The 17,993-nt window shown below is 42.0% G+C and overlaps 1 protein-coding gene across 3 annotated transcripts, besides 12 other annotated features; it reads left to right on the plus strand.

Moving 5' to 3' along the window:
* Positions 6,176-6,668: a transcriptional cis regulatory region, noted in NCBI's record as "candidate enhancer chr1.6815 targeted for multiplex CRISPR interference". NCBI's record gives its function as "positively regulates GADD45A gene expression in K562 cells {active_cell/tissue: K562}" and the evidence as "EXISTENCE:mutant phenotype evidence [ECO:0000015][PMID:30612741]".
* Positions 8,431-8,610: a silencer, noted in NCBI's record as "silent region_981". NCBI's record gives its function as "represses an Ori minimal core promoter by ATAC-STARR-seq in GM12878 lymphoblastoid cells {active_cell/tissue: GM12878}" and the evidence as "EXISTENCE:reporter gene assay evidence [ECO:0000049][PMID:35858748]".
* Positions 8,621-8,680: a silencer, noted in NCBI's record as "silent region_982". NCBI's record gives its function as "represses an Ori minimal core promoter by ATAC-STARR-seq in GM12878 lymphoblastoid cells {active_cell/tissue: GM12878}" and the evidence as "EXISTENCE:reporter gene assay evidence [ECO:0000049][PMID:35858748]".
* GADD45A (growth arrest and DNA damage inducible alpha) lies at positions 8,767-11,900 on the plus strand. Of its 3 annotated transcripts, NM_001924.4 has the most exons (4): positions 8,767-9,104; positions 9,591-9,692; positions 9,916-10,153; positions 11,227-11,900. In NM_001924.4, exons 1-4 carry the CDS (start codon positions 9,061-9,063, stop codon positions 11,338-11,340), a joined length of 498 nt encoding a protein of 165 aa, NP_001915.1. In that variant the 5' UTR covers positions 8,767-9,060; the 3' UTR covers positions 11,341-11,900. The 3 variants fall into 3 exon arrangements, with proteins under 3 accessions (NP_001915.1, NP_001186671.1, NP_001186670.1); NM_001199742.2 differs by lacking the exon at positions 9,916-10,153; NM_001199741.2 differs by lacking the exon at positions 9,591-9,692.
* Positions 8,871-9,030: a silencer, noted in NCBI's record as "silent region_983". NCBI's record gives its function as "represses an Ori minimal core promoter by ATAC-STARR-seq in GM12878 lymphoblastoid cells {active_cell/tissue: GM12878}" and the evidence as "EXISTENCE:reporter gene assay evidence [ECO:0000049][PMID:35858748]".
* Positions 9,501-9,630: a silencer, noted in NCBI's record as "silent region_984". NCBI's record gives its function as "represses an Ori minimal core promoter by ATAC-STARR-seq in GM12878 lymphoblastoid cells {active_cell/tissue: GM12878}" and the evidence as "EXISTENCE:reporter gene assay evidence [ECO:0000049][PMID:35858748]".
* Positions 9,701-9,840: a silencer, noted in NCBI's record as "silent region_985". NCBI's record gives its function as "represses an Ori minimal core promoter by ATAC-STARR-seq in GM12878 lymphoblastoid cells {active_cell/tissue: GM12878}" and the evidence as "EXISTENCE:reporter gene assay evidence [ECO:0000049][PMID:35858748]".
* Positions 9,701-10,937: a biological region, named in NCBI's record as "P300/CBP strongly-dependent group 1 enhancer GRCh37_chr1:68151855-68153054".
* Positions 9,738-10,937: an enhancer, noted in NCBI's record as "P300/CBP strongly-dependent group 1 enhancer chr1:68151855-68153054 (GRCh37/hg19 assembly coordinates)". NCBI's record gives its function as "activates an origin of replication core promoter dependent on BRD2, BRD4, P300/CBP, MED14 and CDK7 cofactors, with strong dependence on P300/CBP, by STARR-seq in HCT116 cells {active_cell/tissue: HCT116}" and the evidence as "EXISTENCE:reporter gene assay evidence [ECO:0000049][PMID:35650434]".
* Positions 9,941-9,990: an enhancer, noted in NCBI's record as "active region_1181". NCBI's record gives its function as "activates an Ori minimal core promoter by ATAC-STARR-seq in GM12878 lymphoblastoid cells {active_cell/tissue: GM12878}" and the evidence as "EXISTENCE:reporter gene assay evidence [ECO:0000049][PMID:35858748]".
* Positions 10,021-10,460: an enhancer, noted in NCBI's record as "active region_1182". NCBI's record gives its function as "activates an Ori minimal core promoter by ATAC-STARR-seq in GM12878 lymphoblastoid cells {active_cell/tissue: GM12878}" and the evidence as "EXISTENCE:reporter gene assay evidence [ECO:0000049][PMID:35858748]".
* Positions 10,196-10,697: an enhancer, noted in NCBI's record as "H3K27ac hESC enhancer chr1:68152313-68152814 (GRCh37/hg19 assembly coordinates)". NCBI's record gives its function as "activates a minimal SCP1, AML or CMV promoter by ChIP-STARR-seq in naive H9 embryonic stem cells {active_cell/tissue: H9 hESC(naive)}" and the evidence as "EXISTENCE:reporter gene assay evidence [ECO:0000049][PMID:30033119]".
* Positions 13,192-13,486: a silencer, noted in NCBI's record as "tiled region #15496; HepG2 Repressive non-DNase unmatched - State 18:Pol2". NCBI's record gives its function as "represses a minimal TATA promoter and a strong SV40 promoter by Sharpr-MPRA in HepG2 cells {active_cell/tissue: HepG2}" and the evidence as "EXISTENCE:reporter gene assay evidence [ECO:0000049][PMID:27701403]".

Consider the following 17,993-nt stretch of genomic DNA (forward strand, 5'->3'; position numbering starts at 1 on the left):
CAAATTAATATTCTTACTAATAAATAAAGCCTAGGGGAGGATCACTTGAGCCTGGGAGTTGGAGGCTGCAGTGAACTGAGATTGCGCCACTGCACTCCAGCCTGGGTGACAGAGGGAGACCCTGCCTAAAACAAACAAACAAAAACAAATAAACAAACTAAAATAAGGTCTGGTGGGGGTAGGGGAGGAAGTGTCTTTAAAGGAGCTGGCAGGCCTTGAATCTATTATAGTGTTGAGGACAGCATAACTTCTGAATTTTCTAAACATCTCTGGAAGCCAACTCACTGCTGCACACAGATTTCATGAGAAAATCTTCTAAAGGGATGCACATAGGTTGAAGTTTTGACATGTCTGAGTTTTGGAAATTATGCTAAGTGTCTTTTCATTAAACTTGGAGAAGAATGAAGGGCAATGCTCATATCATAGGTGACAACCTGAGAAAAAGTAAATTGCAGAGCACTGTAAAAACCCAGTGTTTAAGGACTCCTCATAGCTAGAACCAAATAAATTAGGATTTCCCCTGTGGTTAGATTTAAGGCAAATACAGCTTCAGGATCACAGATGGACTTGTTTTGATAGTTTACATAAAAGATATAAATCCAAACTTATAAAATGGAGTAGAGGGTCCAGTTGCTAGGGATAATTAGGGACACGCCAAATTAACCAAACTTAATTCAGATGGTCATTAAACAGTGACCCCACCTGGTTTTCAGTCGTTTTACCATCTGTTGTAGCTCCTTCTTCTCAGATGGGAGAGGTCTCACTAGCTCCCAGGTGTGACCTGTTTATTAAGACACAGTGCCAAATCATACTCCATAGCATTTGGTAACCAGACAATAAATTAAGGTTAATAAGGCAAGTTGTAACATAACTTCAACTGACCTATGGAAACAGATTGAAATGTTTGAAAATTGATATCAAAGCAGAGGAACATGAATGTTTTTTAAATTCTTTAGACACATTATCTGGTGATTGAATTTTTAAGGCCCAGAAAAATAACTTTTTTTGTGGTAAGGTAAGGTATTTGAGGTTTCTCAGTGACTGCGAAAAATATAGAGTAATTATAGAATAATAAAATTATTAAGTAAAAAATGTTAGAGCTGGAAGGGTCTTAGGGAACCAGACATTTCCCATTGTGACCAATATGCATGGCTCAGAGGCTATGGGGTGTATTGCAGGAGGGGAGTGAGGGGGAGCCTAAACTTGCCAATCCCTGCCCTTCACCCCCACTGCTATCCGGCTACTGCAGCCACAACACTTCCACTTTTATCTATCTATATGTGGGGATTATGCCTACTGTGGATTTTGGGGAAAGGGAGTTCTTTTCAAAATTAAAAAGAGTTCACAAATATTTGTCAAATGAGGAAACTGAGGAATGGCGAGGGTAAACAACCTGCTAAAGATTCTATCATTCAAGCCACATTCTTGGAGGGACATCACATTAGATTTATTATTGTTACTATGTCTGCAAAGTAGCCACATAGTTCTTAATTTTACAGCATCATTTCAAAACTTCCATAAATACAGACCAGATATACAATATAAACAAATAAGCTTATAAACTGGCCTTCTTGTATTTGATGGCGATGCTTTCCTAAAATAGGGAGGACGGCTTGCCAAGAGGGAGTCTCCAGCTGAGAAAGCAAAATCTCTGACACATTTCTGCTTAGTGGACAATGATACTAATAAGATTGCCCCCTCCTATATCTTAAGGGAATGAGCTGGAACATATGGCAAAAATCCTTACAGGTCAACAACAGAATGTTAAACACAATCCATCACTTTGCCACAAACTGATATGGTCCACAAAGCACAGAAGTAAAGTGTTCATAATGGATAGCCAGATAGCAGACTATTCACTACATTCTTTGGTTACTGAAAATGAGGCTACTTTGGACCTTTACATACAAAGTCTCATGGGAGCCAGAAAGACTACTGTCACACAAACATGGCTGTGGCCCACATCTAAGACCAGCTATACAGAAATGAGCACTCCAAAAGACCATGTCCCAGACCCTCTTCAAAACATCACAGTCTTACAGAGCTTGATCCTAAATGATCTTGTTTTAATATTTAATATCTTCCAGACTTTGAGACTGACATTTTATTGCCAAAGTACATGAGGACCAAACCAAAATAAAAGAATGCATATTATTCAAAGAACAAAAAAAACTTATAAGCTATTTCAAAGAATAAGTTTTACTGGCAGAAATTTCCAGTTAATCAGGATTAAATGCTTACAAGCACTAAAGCCAGAGAGAGAGGTAGAAGTTCAAATAGTAGTAAAGAATGCTCTTATTCTCTTTTATTTCTTTTTCTTTCATTCTCAGTCTCCTAAATACTACTTTATTTCCTTAATTTCATCTCCAATTGTGTTTCTTGTATGTTGCTTCCGCAACATAACCCATCTTTGCTTTCAAATCTCCCACTTCAAAACTGACCTTCATAAAACCTTTCAGAGTTGTTTTCCTCATCATTATAATCTCTTTGTGCTACATTGAAAGAACAAGACTTGAAGCTTGGCAATTAAGCACCTTTTAATCTATTGGGTATTATATGTGTATACAGTACAGGTCAAAATCCTTAGCTTACAAAATGGGCCAGTTTATAACCCCTGAAAAAATTATAAGAAAAACAGTTGGACGGGGGTGGAGGAACTATGAGAATAATATGAATGCAGATAAGGGTGCACAATCCTCTGTAACTAAAACAATACAAGTAGTTTTCTGATGTCTTGGAGGACTGAAAAAAAAATACAAGCCCCAAAACAGTATTTGATCAAGACACCTTCCTTTCTAATATACAAAAAAGACAACAAATTATATAACTCTTATGTTCTAATTCATCAATTATATATTAAAATCTGTGTACCTTATTCATTCAATAATATCTGATTTAACAAATATTTATTGGTGGATCATGAGGTCAGGAGATCGAGACCATCCTGGCTAACATGGTGAAACCCCATCTCTACTAAAAATACAAAAAAAATTAGCAAGGCATGGTGGCGGGCACCTGTAGTCCCAGCTACTCGGGAGGCTGAGGCAGGAGAATGGCGTGAACCTGGGAGGTGGCGGATCTTGCAGTGAGCCGAGATCACGCCACTGGACTCCAGCTTGGGCGACAGAGTGAGACTCCATCTCAAAAAAAAAAAAAAACCACAAAACAAATATTTATTAAGAGTCCACTCTGTATAAGGCACTGTTCTAGTCACTTAGGGACCAATCAGTGAACAAAACAAAATTCTACCCCATATTTTTGGATAGTGGAGTGGGCAGGAGGAGAATCAGATAACAAACAATATATATAAGTAAAATATATATGTTTGAAGGTGATTGTGACATGATCTTTTAAAAAAACAGGATTTAAGAGATTAGTGGTGCCAGGGAGTAGAGGTATTGCAACTCAACTAGAGTGAGCAGGGTATGGCTCATTAGGAAGGGGGCTGGAAGGCAATGAGCAATGTGGTATCAGGAGAAAAAACATTCCAAGCTTACAGTCAGCACAAAGGCCCTGAGGCAAAAGGAAGTCCAATATGGCTAGAGAGAAATGAGCATGGGGGGAACAGTGTAAGATAAGATTGCTGTAGGGATCAGATTTTTATAACAGCTTTATTGATATAATTCACATTCTGTACACACCCTAAATATTTTATTCAATGGGTTTTACTATATTAACTGATTTGTACAATTGTCACCATTGTCAATATTAGGACATTTTCATCATGGGCACAGATTTTATATGGTATTTTAAGCCATAGTAAGGACTAGGGGTTTTTCTCTGAGTAAAAAGAAAAGCCATTGATAACTTTGGGTTAAGGAATTGACTGGGATCTGACTTACTATTTACAGGATCACTTCGGCTGCTGGAGGTGAAGGGAGGAAAGGCAAAAGCAGAGGGAGACCAGTTGTTACATTTTCCTAGGTGGGAGATGATGCTGGTGGTAGTGGTGATGAGAAATGGTTGAATTATTTTACATTTTGAAATGGAGCCTATAGGATTTACTGATGGACTGGATGTGGTTGTGAGAAAAAGGAATCAAGAATGACACCAAGGTGTGGGGGGCTGAACAGTGGGAAGAATGGAGTTGCCATTGACCTATTGTAGGCACAGATTTGGCCAGACAATCAGGAGAGCAACAATTGTCATTTTAAGTTTAAGATGCTTACTATATATTGATGCAGATATGATGAATAAGCGCTGAGGTTCAGAAGAGATGACTGACCAGGTTTGAAATATATTTGGGAGTCATCAGCATATAAATAATTAAGGCCATGGGACCATATGAGGTCACCAAGAGAGTGAGTACAGAGAAGAGGTATAAGCATGAGCTGTTAAGAAGTTAGGAAGAAGAAAACTTTGCAATGAAGTTGATGGGTGAATAGAATTGTTTCTTTTATTTCAGAGAGAGAAAACTCACAAATTGGCTGGGCGCAGTGGCTCACACCTGTAATCCCAGCACTTTGCGAGGCCAAGGTGGGAGGACTGCTTAAGCCCAGGCGTTTGAGACCAGCCTGGGCAACAAAGCAAGACCCCGTTTCTTTGGAAAATTTTAAAATTAGGCTGGTGTGATGGCATGTGCCTATAGTCCCAGGTACTCAGGAGGCTGAGGTAGGAAGATCGCTTGAGCCTGGGAGTTCAAGACTGCAGTGAGCTATGACAGTGCCACTGCACTCTAGTCTGGATGACAGAGGATGACCCTGTCTCAAAAAAGAAAAAAAAAAAAGCAAACTCACAAATCTGTTCAAGGTGCAAAAACAACCTACCAGTGGCCAATCACCAACTCAGACCACCTACTTCCCTCACCAGTGATTAGGCTACAAAGCAGAGACTCTCAGAACATTCCTCCCATGATAGAAGCCTTCTGATACGCACCGACAGAGAGGTGAGGGGTTAGGGGGTGTTGATCTTGAAGAATGTTCTAGTTAGTCTCTTCATCTGACTTCTCCACTGGCTGGGCCTTGCTTGGCTGGTGAAATGTGAGCAGCTGATGGCAGCACAAGGTGGCCAGCCCAAAGCTCAAATTAACACTATGATTACTACCATGATTCTTAATAGCTGAAGAGAATTTCCACAGGATAAGGATTTATTGAACACACAAAAAAGATGGCATTAAGAATATTATACTAGTTTTTTGTTGTTGTTTTTGTTTTTGTTTTGAGACGGAGTTTCAATCTTGTCACCCAGGCTGGAGTGCAATGGCACCATCTCGGCTCACTGCAACCTCCACCTCCAGATTCAAGTGATTCTCCTGCCTCAGCCTCCCGAGTAGCTAAGATTACAGGTGCCTGCCACCGCGCCTGGCTAATTTTTGTATTTTTAGTAGAGCTGGGGTTTCACCATGTTAGCCAGGCTGGTCTCAAACTCCTTAGCCAGGCTGGTCTCAAGCTCCTGACCTCAGGTGATCCACCCGCCTTGGCCTCCCAAAGTGCTGGGATTACAGGTGTGAGCCACCACACCTGGCCCCAACTAATTTTTGTATTTTTAGTAGAGGTGGGGTTTTACCATGTTGGCCAGGCTGGTTTTGAACTCCTGACCTCAGGTGATCCGACCTCCTCAGCCTCTCAAAGTGCTGGGATTACAGGCGTGAGCTACTGCACCTGACCAGGAACCTTATGATTTTTAACAAGAAAAAATAATACAATACAATTCTAGGTAGGTGGAAAATACATCCATCATAGTTGAACTGATCTTCTCCTTTGATGTGGACAATGATCTAATACTGAAATAACAAGCATTATATTTCTTTCAGATGTTAAAGCATTGATTGTTTTTTGAAAGAAAGAAAGAATAATTCTGCATTATGGAACCAGTAGTAGGAATGTATGTAGGATAAGCATGACTAAAATATCAAAAAGATCTTTAATATGCAAAGCAAGTAGCAGTGCTAAAATAATTGAACAATTCTTGAGTATATATTTCCATATGATTTCTAAATATAATCATTTGGTATCTTTACAAACATTACTACAAGAGCATTCTACTCCTGTGTACTTGGCAGTTGTCAGAGTTACCTGTAGTGGTTTTTAAAATGACATCACATATTGGAGTTATCACACTGATTATAAAGAAATATATATATATATATAATATTGATATAGGAAAATTTCTCTGATTTACCATTGACTATCAATGTCCTCCAGGACTAATAAACAGTTAATGATAAATCAACTATGTCCATTCTAATGTGTAACTACAATCTAACTGTGTAGCTAAATGCAGTTTTTACTTCCAGTCATGAGGCCCAACTTTGAAGATAATCACTGAGAAAACATTCTAGGTATACTCAGCAATCAGGCAAAATGATGTAACGTATCTGAGTCAGAAAGTATGACAAATGAATATTTTTGCATACTGGAAGCCCAAGCTTATCTCAGAGAAAATCCCCAAAATACTTGGGCAAATAACTTTCTGATGAAGTCAAATATAGCATGCAGTATAATTTTTGAGTGGAGGACTAAGCCTATAATAAGAAGTAACCATTTGATATCACATTTTTACTGGATATAGTCGACTTGGGTGGGGCACTTTAGGACTGTGGTTCATTTGAATTGGTGTAAACAATACACCGGTTCTACTGTCCTACAGCCTCCATTCAGATGACTGAAGTCATGGGACTTTCAGCATAGCTAGCTGATGACAGTGCATACTATTTTGTCCCAAAATCCAGTTCAAGCATGGACATACCAATAAGAGCCTAAGCTCTTTAAAGGCAAAGGACCAGGAATTGTACAGTTCTTGGTATAGAAGAAGACAGGCAAAAGTGTTTTTGAACTAACGTTAAATGTGCAATATGTTAGAATTCATGCAATGCACAGGACTGCAGGATTCTGATATCTTATTTAACTCTCAAATTCTATTCAACTCAATAAACCTTGACTGTGCTTCTACTAAATGCAGGTATTGTACTAGGAGCTGAGGACACCAAACTGATGAAGTCCTTGCTGTCAAGAAACTCACATGATTCCCTAATTCTTTGTCAGCTTGCTGTGATCACATTTTCTTCCCAAGAACCTCTAAGAAATGCCTAGTGGATAGAACCTTGGAGTTCCACGGAACATATTAACAATCGCCAAATGATGACTCAGGCTAGATTGTGTAATTCAGGTTTTGTCTGCAAAACTGAAAATGCTTCGGTAACCTACCTAAATTTCAATGTTGAGGAATTCTTTAAGAAAGACATCAAATGTTAAGATTTAAGGCATAGATATGAGATACATAGTCATGCTTAGGTGAATTATGCACTGACCATGACCATTTCTTTACTCAAATGTTGTCCATGGCTGACAACACAGTGAAAAAATGAGTGCAAAATGACAACTCAAATAAATGAACCAGAAAACCTATCACTTTTCTTTTCCACCAAATTAAGATCAAGAGAGCTGGAGAATATTTTGTCTAGAGTGATAAAAACATAAGGGTGCAAAACTTCCAGGTACCTTTGCAGAAATTACTTCTGTGACCTTTGGCTGTACAGCAACCTTAATAATGCAAGCACTGTTTTGAATGCAAGCATGTGGGAGCCATTTTCACCACTTTTGATGACTTCAGTAGGTTTAAGAAATGTTTTTGCTTTTATTGCATAAACCATAAAACAAAGGAAGGGACTTTTGAACTACTCAGTGAGAGTCTATATATTAAAGTTTGTTTTTCAAAAATGTGTAACTACCATTTGCAGTTTTAAAGGTCTGCTTTCCACCTACAAGTTGCCATTATCTCAAAGGTGAAATTTTAGCATATGACTAAAAACTTCCTATAGTTACAGCTTCATGATTCAGCATCTAACATCAATAATTCACAGTGAGATCATAGGAGGCTCTCTGTGGAAGGTAACGACATACATACGTTAGGAAAGGAAGCTTAGGGCATATCGAGAGCATTTTGAATTTAGACTTGTGGGCTGTGTGGGTGTCAGATGGTTGTCTCTCAGCTGGTGGGCGTCCAGAAGGATCCTTGTTTGGGCAAGGCTCTTTGAGAAAGGAGAATCTGGGTTGCCAGGGATTCCCACATGTGGTCACCAGCTCCCCACGCAGACCAGCTCACGATTTCCCAGTTACACCGGGCAGGTGGGAAACCGTTCTGCTTTCTGTGGAAAAGATTCTAACTTGGTTCCCTGCCATCCCTGAATACAAACGGGTTGGTTTTTCTTTTTTCAGCTTCCAACCCTTGCAGCTTTCCAAAAATAAATCAAACCAGCCATCAGGGCACCGAAATAATACTACTGCTAATAAGCAGCTTCGCCTAGACTTAGATAAACAACACTTCTGAGGTAAACTTTGCCCCGGAGGTCTGGAGACACTTTTTTAATGTAACCTGCTTACTAATAATTACTAGACTTCAGTGCATTAACCCTGGAAATAGATTTTAATAGCCACCCCTTAAAACAAAAGACATGAAAAGATAATAAGAAAAAAGTGCCGCAACTATTATAGAAAAACACTTGGCAGCCTGCTTCAGCCCAAGCTGAGGCCACCTCTAGCCTCTGCTAAAGCCCCCCACTCCCAATGGTCCCCGCCAACCGGATAAGAGTGCGCGCGGGACCCGCCTTCCCCTCTCGGCACCGCCCCCGCCCCCGCCCCCTCGGCTCGCCTCCCGCGTGGCTCCTCCCTTTTCCGCTCCTCTCAACCTGACTCCAGGAGCTGGGGTCAAATTGCTGGAGCAGGCTGATTTGCATAGCCCAATGGCCAAGCTGCATGCAAATGAGGCGGAAGGTGGTTGGCTGAGGGTTGGCAGGATAACCCCGGAGAGCGGGGCCCTTTGTCCTCCAGTGGCTGGTAGGCAGTGGCTGGGAGGCAGCGGCCCAATTAGTGTCGTGCGGCCCGTGGCGAGGCGAGGTCCGGGGAGCGAGCGAGCAAGCAAGGCGGGAGGGGTGGCCGGAGCTGCGGCGGCTGGCACAGGAGGAGGAGCCCGGGCGGGCGAGGGGCGGCCGGAGAGCGCCAGGGCCTGAGCTGCCGGAGCGGCGCCTGTGAGTGAGTGCAGAAAGCAGGCGCCCGCGCGCTAGCCGTGGCAGGAGCAGCCCGCACGCCGCGCTCTCTCCCTGGGCGACCTGCAGTTTGCAATATGACTTTGGAGGAATTCTCGGCTGGAGAGCAGAAGACCGAAAGGTGAGTCGGCCTGCGGACTCTTCCGGCCCGAACTTCTCTTACCTACCCCGCGCTCCCCGGTGCAGCCGGGCTGTGGAAGGCTTGCAGGGGAGGAAGCTAAAAAGTTTGCACAGGGCAACTCCCGCCCTTGCTCCCTCGGGACTCTCCGTGGAGCTCCCACGGACTGAAAGAGCGTGCCCCCCAACCCGAACGAGCCCCGCCGGGGCCTTTGCAAAGGGCAGCAGTGGCCGTCGCTGCCCGTGCGGCTCCCGTGGCTGGCAGCCTGTGGCAGGGGCACTCTCGGGACTTCTCACGGGACGCCCGGTCCTTGGGCGTGCAGGGGTCATGGGGGGTGACGGGGCCGCGGGAGCGCCGGGTTTTCGTAGAGCCCAGGTGCGCGGTGGTGCTTGCATTCGAGAGGGAGGGGCGTGGTACCGGACGAGGGGGGCGGCGATGGCCCCGAGGGCACCGGGGCTGACGGGACCCCTCGCCCTTGCCCGCGTGTAGGATGGATAAGGTGGGGGATGCCCTGGAGGAAGTGCTCAGCAAAGCCCTGAGTCAGCGCACGATCACTGTCGGGGTGTACGAAGCGGCCAAGCTGCTCAACGTGTAAGTGGGGCCCTTGCGCGTCCCCCATGGCACCCCTTCCCGCCCCAGCCCGGGAGGTCGCCTTGGCTGGGCGCCCCTCGCCCGGCCGCGCCACTTCCTGTCGCTTTTCTGCCTGTCTCGGAAGGGAGGGGGCGAGCGGGCCGGGCGGCGACCCCCAGGGACCCGGGCAGTGGTTGAGGGCGCCCGCGCTTCTGCGCTCACTGGCCCCGCCCGCTGCCCCCAGCGACCCCGATAACGTGGTGTTGTGCCTGCTGGCGGCGGACGAGGACGACGACAGAGATGTGGCTCTGCAGATCCACTTCACCCTGATCCAGGCGTTTTGCTGCGAGAACGACATCAACATCCTGCGCGTCAGCAACCCGGGCCGGCTGGCGGAGCTCCTGCTCTTGGAGACCGACGCTGGCCCCGCGGCGAGCGAGGGCGCCGAGCAGCCCCCGGACCTGCACTGCGTGCTGGTGACGGTAAGGGACTGGGGGACTGCAGCCTGCAGGGTAGAGCCCCGGAAGGACGGGAGTCAGGGCTGGGTTGCCTGATTGTGGATCTGTGGTAGGTGGGGGTCAGGAGGGTGGCTGCCTTTGTCCGACTAGAGTGTGGCTGGACTTTCAGCCGAGATGTGCTAGTTTCATCACCAGGATTTTCTGTGGTACAGAACATGTCTAAGCATGCTGGGGACTGCCAGCAGCGGAAGAGATCCCTGTGAGTCAGCAGTCAGCCCAGCTACTCCCTACCTACATCTGCACTGCCTCCCGTGACTAATTCCTTTAGCAGGGCAGATTAGATAAAGCCAAATGAATTCCTGGCTCACCCCTCATTAAGGAGTCAGCTTCATTCTCTGCCAGTCAGAGCTAAAAATAGAAATTGTGTAGGAGACAAACCTTGTTAATTCCCTAGAAATACATTAAGAGGATAGAGTGGAATTTTTTTTCTCTGCAATCTTGCATTTTTTTAATGGCTCTTTTTTTTTTTCCTGATAAAAACCTTTGGTAGGTAGGGAAGTTATGTTTTCAGGGGTAAATGTGCTACTTTTGTCTTCTAAATTTTGCTCTTTTTTGACTGGTCTAGTCAAGTGACAGCCCGATTATTTTGCTACTCCTTAAAAGTACTATTCTGTCTCTTGGAGTATGGTTGATGGCAATTCCAGTTAACTGCTGTGCAGCTCTCATCTCATTGTGCACACAGCATGGAAATCTTTCTCAAAACTGTTTCACTCAGGTCAGGGTAACAAGTTTGGTAGAGCAAACCGGTGAATGATACTCTCATGCAAAACTGAACAGATATGCAAACATATGTATGTGGTTCAGCTTGGGTTGCATGGGTTCAGACTTTGCAATGTGTAGTTTAATAGGTAATTACCCTTAACGCTTTTGCAGGGAACCCAACTACCTTGAAGAAACTTTAATTTTTTTGTGCTTCTAATTTGTCTCCATGTCACATAGCCAAAATATAGAATGTTCAAGTGTTTTCTCCTCAAAAGTATAATTACTAGAATATACTGGTTTTTAAAATAAGTTTATTTTTATAAATTTGTTTCCAGAATCCACATTCATCTCAATGGAAGGATCCTGCCTTAAGTCAACTTATTTGTTTTTGCCGGGAAAGTCGCTACATGGATCAATGGGTTCCAGTGATTAATCTCCCTGAACGGTGATGGCATCTGAATGAAAATAACTGAACCAAATTGCACTGAAGTTTTTGAAATACCTTTGTAGTTACTCAAGCAGTTACTCCCTACACTGATGCAAGGATTACAGAAACTGATGCCAAGGGGCTGAGTGAGTTCAACTACATGTTCTGGGGGCCCGGAGATAGATGACTTTGCAGATGGAAAGAGGTGAAAATGAAGAAGGAAGCTGTGTTGAAACAGAAAAATAAGTCAAAAGGAACAAAAATTACAAAGAACCATGCAGGAAGGAAAACTATGTATTAATTTAGAATGGTTGAGTTACATTAAAATAAACCAAATATGTTAAAGTTTAAGTGTGCAGCCATAGTTTGGGTATTTTTGGTTTATATGCCCTCAAGTAAAAGAAAAGCCGAAAGGGTTAATCATATTTGAAAACCATATTTTATTGTATTTTGATGAGATATTAAATTCTCAAAGTTTTATTATAAATTCTACTAAGTTATTTTATGACATGAAAAGTTATTTATGCTATAAATTTTTTGAAACACAATACCTACAATAAACTGGTATGAATAATTGCATCATTTCTTATTGTGTGCTCTTGTTTCTTTTAACTTGTACTTTATTAAACACATTTTACTGACGCTTTGCTGTATACCAGGTCTATAATCAGAAAGCAGGTGATTTAAAGGAGTTGGAGTTGTCAGGAAAAAGGGATGGTTAGAGATTCAGCTTGCAAAATTTGAATAATTAAAGATAAATGATATTAGCGCCGTAATAAGATTATACACAAAATGTTGAGGAGGCAGAGAGGACAGAGTGACTAAAGTTACCTACCAGTTTTTACTGAAGAGAGATCATTTTATGTTGGTCTTAGTGAGTTTTATTTCCCTAGTTACAGAGGGCAAAGGGATATTGCTAGCAGCTGCATTAGTTTGTGCAAAGGTGTGGAGGCCTGAAAGACCACAACCAGGTCAGTAAAAACAGAGTGATTGTGTGTGTGCCTCTGGTGTAGAAAGATAAGGGAGCAGCGGGGCTGAAAAGGAAGGTGGGGATTAGGCCCAGGCTGTGAAGGCATTCTGTGTTACCCTTATGCATTTGGGCTTCCTTCTGTAAACTTCAGGCAGATAGCGGAGCCCCTGAAGGAAGTGGCATGATCAGTGTTCTAGGAAAGTAACACCGGGGTCTGTGAAAGATGATTATTGGGATGAGCAGCTGTAGGTGACAAGGCCAGTTAGGAAGTGACTAAGAATCCAAGGTTGTGCATTTTGCAGAACCATTTTTACAGAGCAAACAGGGAAGTGGCCAGGCAAGGTTTTTTGCTGCCCCTAGTCTCTTCCTAAAGCTTTGTGCTTTCCAGCTGAACATTTCTATGGTTCTGAGGGGTCTGCTTAAATTCTATCAGATGGAATAGATGGCAGAGAAGAAAAGCAAAAGAAAAGTCTTCAGTAGAACAATCATTTTTAGTTAGAACAGTCACTTGATAATTAACTCCAACAATCTTGTAGGCATAGACCAAAGAAAGCAAAAATGCTTATGGAGGCAAGGCCTAGCCTTGCTTTTGTCCACAGGAATTTTCTTATCCTATTTCTCAAACCGTCCCCCTTATGGCTCCCCTGCCATCTGTCTTTCATCCTAGTCATGACTACATACAATCAGAAGAAAGGGTAGGGAAAACCCACTAATAGCAACAAAAAGCTCCAAGTTTCTGCATATATTATGAATACATAGCTCCATGAGCCCTTCACCTTGCAAATGACTCTCTTTTCCCACATCTGCTAGAATTGTGGGGTTTTAGGCCTTGTTTAGGCTTCTTGTATCTTTTCACAAGTGACTTTTTCTACATCTGCTAGAAATGTGGGTTTTTAGGCTTATTTAGGCTTCTTGTATCTTTTTAAAATCCAGTGCCCACTCCAAAACATAACTGGTATTTAATATTTGTTTCTTACATTACCAAAAGATTGAGAGCAGTGAGTTTTAAATAGCAAGGTGTTTTGCCTTCCCATTGAAGTAAGGTTTTTTTCAGCCCTTTTTCACAACGATTTGGTAAGAACCCTCTTGCAGAGATGAATGAATTAAAGTGGAGACACACAGTGGATAAAGCTGGTTTGCTTAGTGGAACGAGCACAGTAGCAGCTAGCCTTGATTAGTCCTTCTTCATCCTGTTTTACTCATGTAAAATGGAGATAAGATTACCTATCTTGCAGACTTGTGGCCTCTCCTACAACTCTGCAACCTCCCTCAAGGCAGGTAATGTCTGGTTCATTATTGTAGCCCAGTAGTGGACACAAGTGCCAGCAAGCAGTAGGTGCTGAATTAATATTTATTGAATAAATGAATGATTAGAAATAATGAATACAAACTACCTGGCACATGATAGGTGCTCAATGGAGTGTGGCTGTTTCTAAAACCCAGGTGATAGCAATAGGAAAACTTAAGGCATCAGAGAGATCTGTGTTATGACATGTACATCTATATAACTATGTTTTTCAAAAAGAATTTTTGATCTTTATTCTAAATTCATAATGCTTAGAGATATGTAATAGTACTTATACATTCTTCAGATTGTTTTGAGGAAAATCTCAACAATTACTGTAATGCCATTTGGTTTCTTCAAAAATTTTAAACTCTTGTTTTTCTTTCCTGATTGAGCATAACATAAAGTTAACACAGCATTGAAAAACCCAATCATGAAACAGTTAATTTTAAACAAATATAAAATTACCTGGATGGCTTCTATCTCTAATTGATGCAAATATTCTTTAGTCGTTGCCTTAAAAACCATTAAATGTACTTATTGCAAGCTACGTTACAACAAGAACAGAAATCCCCTCATCTACCTAAGGTGTATTGAATGTTGAAAAGTGGAAAATACCTAATTTTTCCACTGGCAACTTCACCTCAGTGTCATAAATAGCATTGCTTCCTCCTTTCCACACTTAACCTAGGATCTTGGTAAGTTAAACTTTTATAATGAAAGGACCCATGAAAGTAGCTAATCTCCTATAATACATACCTTAGTTCCCAAATAAAGAAAAAAGGGTCATTTTTTAGGAAAGAATTATTTGTATACTGTCAATTGAAATATTTCCAAAGCATGTTTTGAGATGCCTTACTGGAGCCCTTGTGAAATAATTGCTTAATTTTCATTTATATAGGTAGAATTTTATTCTTTGATATGTGGTAAAAGACTGAAATTTGGGAGATAAGTTCTCTTCAAATGAACAAAACTCAGTGGCATGATTTGACACCAAGTAAGTATCCCTCAAAGAAGTGAATACTTTTTTTCTTTTTAACAATACTTTGGTAAACATAAGAACCTCTGTGAAAAGGTCGTATTCATGAAAACCACCAAGAAATATTAAGTGAGTGCTTACTGTGGACAAGGGACTATGCTGGCTATATTGAAGTCTACCAAAAAAAAAAAAAAAAAAAATCAGACACACACTCTGGCCTCAAGGACTTCGTATCACTACATAAATACAAAACAGAAAATTACCAGCAACGTAAGAAAGGCCCAGAGAACTGTTCTGGAAGTTCAAAGGATAGAAATCTCCAGAAGGCATATAGGAATGGAATGGAGAAAAAGGTTGTAAACTCTTTGTTCATAAGCTAGCATCGTATTTTGCAAACAGCACAAAAATGTGATCGATTGATTGAATATTGAATATAATTTTGCTAGGTGCTATGAAGAATACAAAGATGTAGCCTATTAGAGCATTTCTCCTTAAGTTGACAATCTATAAGGAAATCATTAAGCACATTAAAAAAAAGATAAGCTTGTTCATTTCAATCATGCTGCTTATTGAATGCCTATCATTTTCCTGGCACTATGTTAGGTCCCAAGGCCACAAAGGTGAAAAAGCAGCCACCTTTAAGGATATGTACAATTTAGTAGGGATACCTGATACCTGTAATACTAGGTGACAAGTGATAATGAGGTATATTCAAGACCTAAGTGTTCCTGGGGCCAGGGAATGTTTGCCAGGTTCAGTGAGACCTGAAAGATGAAGAGATCTGCCAGGTGAATGTGAAGGGCATTTACTCCAGGAGGAGGAACTATAGCTCAGGAAGGTACACACTGAAGGCATGTTTGGAGCTAGCTTTTGGGTGACAGCAACACTCATACAAGATTTACTACATCCTGAGCACTGATCTAAGCATTTTATCAACAGGAACTCATTAGCACTCTCAACAACCCTGTGGGAGTAGGTACTATTATTAGCCCCATTTTGAAGGTGAAAATACTGACACACAGAGATCTTAAGTTGCCCAGAATCATACTGTAAGTGGCAAGACCAGGATGCAAACATGTCCTCCAGTGATGGGTGATGGAGTGGGAAAGATGGTAGAAACCAGAGCATGATTTTCTGGCAGGCCAAGCTTCTTTTCTACTAGGTGATAGAAAGCCATTAAAATTAATTGGTAAAACTAAGAGAAGAGACAGATGCTGTCACCACCAAGAGACAGACAATGAAAAGATGATGCTATAGCTTACAAAGTCCTAATGTGGGGGTGGAAACTGGTAGCCAAGAGAAATTTGGATCACACAATATATAACAATTTTTAAAGATCAGTTGTAAACATTTAAAAATGGGAAAATCTCTTAGCAAAATCCAGACTTTTATTGTTTCTTGAAAATGTGCTATACTGGCAACCGTAGGTCCATACTGCGTGGTGGCAATTCGCTGGAGCCAATAGGAGGCCCCTCCCTTTTGGACTTGGATTTCCAGTTTGCCACAGACCTCACCCCTCCCTGTTATAACTCTAGTTTGCTGGACTCATGTAAGCTTCCCTCCCTCATCCTATTAGGCATCTGAGATCCACCCTTCGCCCCCACCCCACCGACTCAGACTGGGGCTTAGAATCTTCCTGTGTAAAATGAAGTGTTTACACTATCAGAATTTCTCAAACTGTTTGGATGAAATAAGGCCCTGAGGTGCTTGTTAAAAATATAACTTTCAAGAGCCATTCCCAGAAGCTTTAGATTAAGTGGGGCTGGAATAAGGCTCAGAATTTATTTTTCCTGATTCAAGCCCCAGAAAAAGAAAAAATTATATATATATGTATATGTTTTTAACAAGTAATTCAGGTAATTCTTATAAGGGAAGTTTGAGAAATAATGAATGCTCTCTCGGAGCTCTCTTTACAAATCTCAGGGATTAGGTAGGGAGAAGCTTCTACATGGTCAGTTTCCAGTTTCCCTTGATGTTAGCCCACCAAAAGGGATGCATATTTCTCTGCAAAAATTGCAGGGATTCCCATGAAGAGGTGTACCAGAACCATTTGCTACCTGGAGACAGATAATTTTCAAGTTAACTCAGGTGATCACTACACAAAAGGTGGGAGAGTCTGCAAACAGAATGGTTCTTACCTCTCCTTGAACCGACAGATCAACACACCTGTTATGTGCTAGACATGGTGCTAGGCACTTTGAAGACGAGGGAGAAGCTGACAAGCATGATTAAAATCTGTTATTGTTATACTATGAGTACTGCTCAGTGTCAGGCACACAGTAGGTGCTGAGAAGTAAGTGGGGCTTCCAGTTTTCATTTTTTCTTTTTTCTTTGTTTGTTTGTTTGTTTGTTTTTTGAGACCGAGTCTCACTGTGTTGCCCAGGCTGGAGTGCAGTGGCACAATTTTGGCTCACTGCAACCTCTGCCTCCCAGGTTCAAGCAATTCTCCTGCCTCAGCCTCCCGAGTAGCTGAGATTACAGGTGCATGCCACCACACCCGGCTAATGTTTTATATTTTGGTAGAGACAGGGTTTCATCATGTTGGCCAGGCTGGTCTTGAACTCCTGACCTGGTGATCCTCCTGCCTCGGCCTCCCAAAGTGCTGGGATTACAGGCGTGAGCCACCGTGGCTGGCCACTTCCATTTTTCTTACAACCACTAGTACTTTCTGCCTTTCATGGATTTTCACATTCATTAATTCATTTGATTCTCTGCTAAAGCAACTGAGGCTCAGAGCAATCAAGAGACACCTCCAAGGTCCCATGACAAGGAAGTGGAAGAATCAGAATTTTACGGTGAATTCAGTCCTCTTGATGCTAGGTCAGTCTCTCAAAGAGGCCAACCAGACAGCAGAGATTAGACTGGGGAAGGATGAAACTAATTGAATCGAATCTTTTACTTATCCAATAAGTGGGGCAGAGCCTTGGGAAATCTAAAGGAGACAAAAAACACTCAAGGGAGAATTCTAAGAATTGTCTTCTTTCATCTTAGAACTGGGAAAGTTCTAAGCATCATTGAAAAGTTGATCTTTGTGTCCCTGCATGCTTTTATGCTAATATCTTTTCTAGAATTGTCTGAGAAAGAATTTATACAGAAAAGCAGCAAACTTTCTTAGTATCATCACTTAACACATGATTATATCACCATATTGTAATCATCTTACCATCATTGAAATAAGCACTCAGCAAGAAATGGGTCATCTGGAGGTCTTCTGATTTGATTTTGCTTCTTTATATAACTGTGAAGGACAGGGCTAGCAAAAGATAAGAACAAGAGTACAGCAGTTAAGACAGTGGCCGCCACTCCAGGCCATTGTCTTAATACCAGCCTGTAATACCAGCACTTTGGGAGGCCTAGCTGGGAGGCTTGTTTGAGGCTAGGAGTTTGAGATCAGCTTGGGCAACATAGCAAGACCCTATTTTTGTAAGAAAGAAAAGAATA

The sequence above is a fragment of the Homo sapiens genome, chromosome 1, assembly GCF_000001405.40.
Source record: "Homo sapiens chromosome 1, GRCh38.p14 Primary Assembly".
Classification (NCBI taxonomy): domain Eukaryota; kingdom Metazoa; phylum Chordata; class Mammalia; order Primates; family Hominidae; genus Homo; species Homo sapiens.